This window comes from Homo sapiens, chromosome 15, assembly GCF_000001405.40.
Source record: "Homo sapiens chromosome 15, GRCh38.p14 Primary Assembly".
Taxonomy (NCBI): Eukaryota; Metazoa; Chordata; class Mammalia; order Primates; family Hominidae; genus Homo; species Homo sapiens.
In genome coordinates, this window is record NC_000015.10 from 60,298,657 (window position 1) to 60,303,127 (window position 4,471).

The following is a 4,471-nucleotide window of genomic DNA, read 5'->3' on the forward strand; positions in this document are numbered from 1 at the left end:
AAGGGAAATTAACATCAAAAGTTAACATCAGGCCATGCGCAGTGGCTCACACCTTGTAGTCTCAGCACTTTGGGAGGTCAAGGTGGGAGGATCACTTGAATCCAGGGAGACCAGCCTGGGCAACATGGCGAAACCTCGTCTCCACGAAAAAGTAGAAAAAATTAGCCAGGTGTGATGGGGCATGCCTATAATCCCAGCTACTTGGGAGGCTGAGGTGGGAGGATCACTTGAACCCGGGAGGCAGAGGTTGCAGTGAGCTGAGACAGTGCCAGTGCACTCTAGCCTGAGTGATAGACCAAGACCCTGTCTCACAAAAAAAAAAAAAGTTAACATCAAAAAGCCTCCTAGACCAACTTGTTCCCATTCGACTACTCCAGCATGTCAGCATGTCAGGTACCATTTGTGCACAAGGAAATGAGCTGGCCTGGCCTGTAGATTTGTCCTAGGAAGGCCGGATTCCCATCTGCTAAATGATGTTTCCAGAAGAAACCCTGGCTCTTGAGCAGCAGCAAAGGGTACATGGAAATTCAGTACAAGCACCGATCCTCTCAAAGCAGTTTTTCTAAGTTCCCTTGCATAAAGCAGGTTTTTTTCTCCGCTTAAACAACAACAATTTGTTTTACTTTGATAGGTCCTTCTGAATAATGGTTTCATCATTAAACATCTGGCTTCTTCTTAGCAGATTAGGCCTCCAATGAGGAAAGTGTGTTTATAATTCTAATTTGAAACACAGCACATTAATACGCTGATTCTCATAATGTTTGCCTTAACCTGTTTGGAGAAATTATGACTACAAATATCTTGTATACAACACCTGTAACTACCAGCTTGTACAAACAACATAAGAGCAGGAGCCGCCTCATCCAGACGATTGGAACCACTTCAGAGGCGATCATGATTAGTGCTTTGGCTGGAAGCCATATTTTACACATAAACTCAGCATCTGCCTCCGATATGCTGTCCCAGGCTAACAGACCCACCTTCCCTGTTACTAATAAGCACATTCACGAGCGCCAGATGGTCTGACGGGAAGAGCTCTGCCTTTTCCTGAGCTAGGCACACTGGAGGGAGGCAGCCTGAGCCGGCTCCAAGTCATATTTCCTCGGGCTCTAGGTTCCTGCAATGCTGCGTGCAAACAGGCGCCACTAAAAAAGAATGTAAATGAGGGTGCTATTCATTATTTACGGCTGGCACCTTGCCATCCCCTCCTCCTCTGGGCGACGCCTGCCTGTAGGAACAGGAAAAGCATCTGATGAGAGCAGGGCCATCGTGGAGGAGTCAAGCCATTGCGAACCAGTTTCTTACATTTCGCTGAGGATCCTGCAGGCTCAGCATTTCTGGCCCACGGGAGAGCTGAGCTTTTCACTTTCTTCCTAACAAAGCACTAGAGTTCCTTGGCCTCATGTCTGTACCAAGGGTGTTCATTTACAGTCTAACCTGAAAAAGCTGGCTAGCTGCTCTAATCCCATTCATTGCTGAGGTCGTTGGCCCCATGCCTGGGTTTGAGCCCAGGCAAAGAAGAAAGAAAAAGAGGGGTTGGGGGGAATGATGGTCTACACAGAGGAGACTTACAAGAAAGTTCTAGACTAAACCGGCCAGAAGTTGCACCCAAAGAATAGCTCACTTCTTTGGGTGAGTGCCTACAGATCTTATGCTATATAATGAAATGTTTCACAAGTTTATATCATCTCTCCCTAACTGATCTTAAGCTACAGGAGGGCATAAACTATACATTATACTTATTCTGAATTTCTTCAAGTGCCAATCTAACACAGTGTCCAGAAGATCATCACTAAACCCTAAACGTGGTTTTTAACTCTTTAAGTATAATTTTTTATTGACTCTAAAATGCATAACTTGGCATTTTGAATTGAATCAAAGTTAGCTGAGCACAAACAGCAAAAACTGACCATTCTTACTTCTGGGGTTGACACAGTGTAGCTCCATATCCAGCATCAAACCATCAGGTTACTTTTCAGTCTCATCTGAGAGATATTTCAATACTGTAATCCCTATTGTTTAAAAAAACTTAAGATTTGATCATTAGACATTGTATTTATGTATCAAATAACACATGTACCCCATAGATATAATTATGTCTGTATGCCATCTTCTCGAATGTGGAAAACTTTTTCTTGCCTAATACAAAACATGATCGCTACTAGGATTGGTCTGAACCCTTTGATTGCAAGTGACAAAACTCCAACTCCAGCTTTGTCAGAAAAGGGGGGGATGGATTTGTTGGTTTCTGAATTCAAACTATGAAAAGGGCAGACATGAAGCGAGACTCAGGGTGAGCTGAGGCCATTCTCCCTGCAATCCTCTTTCTCTTCTTTGTATCTATCTAAATATTTGCTTCAACTTCTCTGAACAATTGACCTCACACAATGGAAATATGGCTACAGGTGGTCTAGGCTTTTATCTCTCTAGCCACATGGACAAGAGTTCAAAACAAAACAAAACGAAACAAAACAAAAACCCTGCTCTTCTCCAGCAGTTTCAGTTGGAAAAAGAAGGGACCTAATTGGCCTTATGTGAGTCATGTGCCCATTCCTGGGCTAGTCATGTGACCAGGGGAGCCTAAATGATGATTGGCTCAGACTCAGTCATGTGTCCATCTCTGTGGCCCAGGAAAAAGAACCATGAAGCATCCATCAGTATTGGTTGAAATCTAAATAAAGCCATTTCCAAAAATAAGATGTGCTGTTACCAGGAGAAGGCAAGAAAGGGGCCTAGGTAAACTAAACATATATTCTCCACATTACTTTTGGGGGAAAAAAAAGCTATGCAAGGCCATAGGAATTTTTATTATTTCAGATATTCGCAGCAACAAACTAGTTTACTTCTTTTTTATTATTATTATTATTATACTTTAAGTTTTAGGGTACATGTGCACGATGTGCAGATTAGTTACATATGTATACATGTGCCATGCTGGTGTGCTGCACCCATTAACTCGTCATTTAGCATTAGGTATATCTCCTAATGCTATCCCTCCCCCCTCCTCCCACCCCACAACAGTCCCCAGAGTATGATGTTCCCCTTCCTGTGTCCATGTGTTCTCATTGTTCAATTCCCACCTATGAGTGAGAACATGCGATGTTTGGATTTTTCTCCTTGCGATAGTTTACTGAGAATGATGATTTCCAATTTCATCCATGTCCCTACAAAGGACATGAACTCATCATTTTTTATGGCTGCATAGTATTCCATGGTGTATATGTGCCACATTTTCTTAATCCAGTCTATCATTGTTGGACATCTGGGTTGGTTCCAAGTCTTTGCTATTGTGAATAGTGCCGCAATAAACATACATGTGCATGTGTCTTTATAGCAGCATGATTTATAGTCCTTTGGGTATATACCCAGTAATGGGATGGCTGGGTCAAATGGTATGTCAAGCTCTGGATCCCTGAGGAATCGCCACACTGACTTCCACAATGGTTGAACTAGTTTACGGTCCCACCAACAGTGTAAAAGTGTTCCAATTTCTCCACATCCTCTCCAGCACCTGTTGTTTCCTGACTTTTTAATGATTGCCATTCTAACTGGTGTGAGATGGTATCTCATTGTGGTTTTGATTTGCATTTCTCTGATGCCCAGTGATGGTGAGCATTTTTTCATGTGTTTTTTGGCTGCATAAATGTCTTCTTTTGAGAAGTGTCTGTTCATGTCCTTTGTCCACTTTTTGATGGGGTTGTTTTTTTCTTGTAAATTTGTTTGAGTTCATTGTAGATTCTGGATATTAGCCCTTTGTCAGATGAGTAGGTTGCGAAAATTTTCACAAACTAGTTTACTTCTACCAGCTCAGAAGAGTGAAGGCGAGAATTTGTCTTCCGAAAGTATGTTTTGTTTTTTTTTTTGAGACGGAGTCTCGCTCTGTCGCCCAGGCTGGAGTGCACTGGCACTATCTCCGCTCACTGCAAGCTCCGCCGCCTCCCAGGTTCACACCATTCTCTTGCCTCAGCCTCCCGAGTAGCTGGCACTACAAGCGCCCGCCACCATGCCTGGCTAATTTTTTTGTATTTTTAGTAGAGACGGGGTTTCACTGTATTAGCCAGGATGGTCACGATCTCCTGACCTCATGATCCGCCCACCTTGGCCTCCCAAAGTGTTGGGATTACAGGCATGAGCCACCGCACTTGGCCCTGAAATATTTTTAATCTTTCCCCAAACAACTTTTCAGAAGTTGAGAAAGCTTGCTGTCCCAATTAATGATACCTCATTTCTATTGTATTTTCATTGTTGTGTTTGTTTTTACCTTAATTGAAATTATATATGCAAACAGTTTAAAAAGCCATATAGTTCTACAAGGGCTATTTATAATGGAAAACAGTTGTTCTCCCGCAACCTTCCCTCCACTCCAGTAAAGACTTTTAGCTATTTATTTTGGTATTTACCTCTTGTAGTGAATTCTTACAATTTTATGTTGCCTCAGCATACATTTTGCGTTCTATTTTTTTTGTTTTTT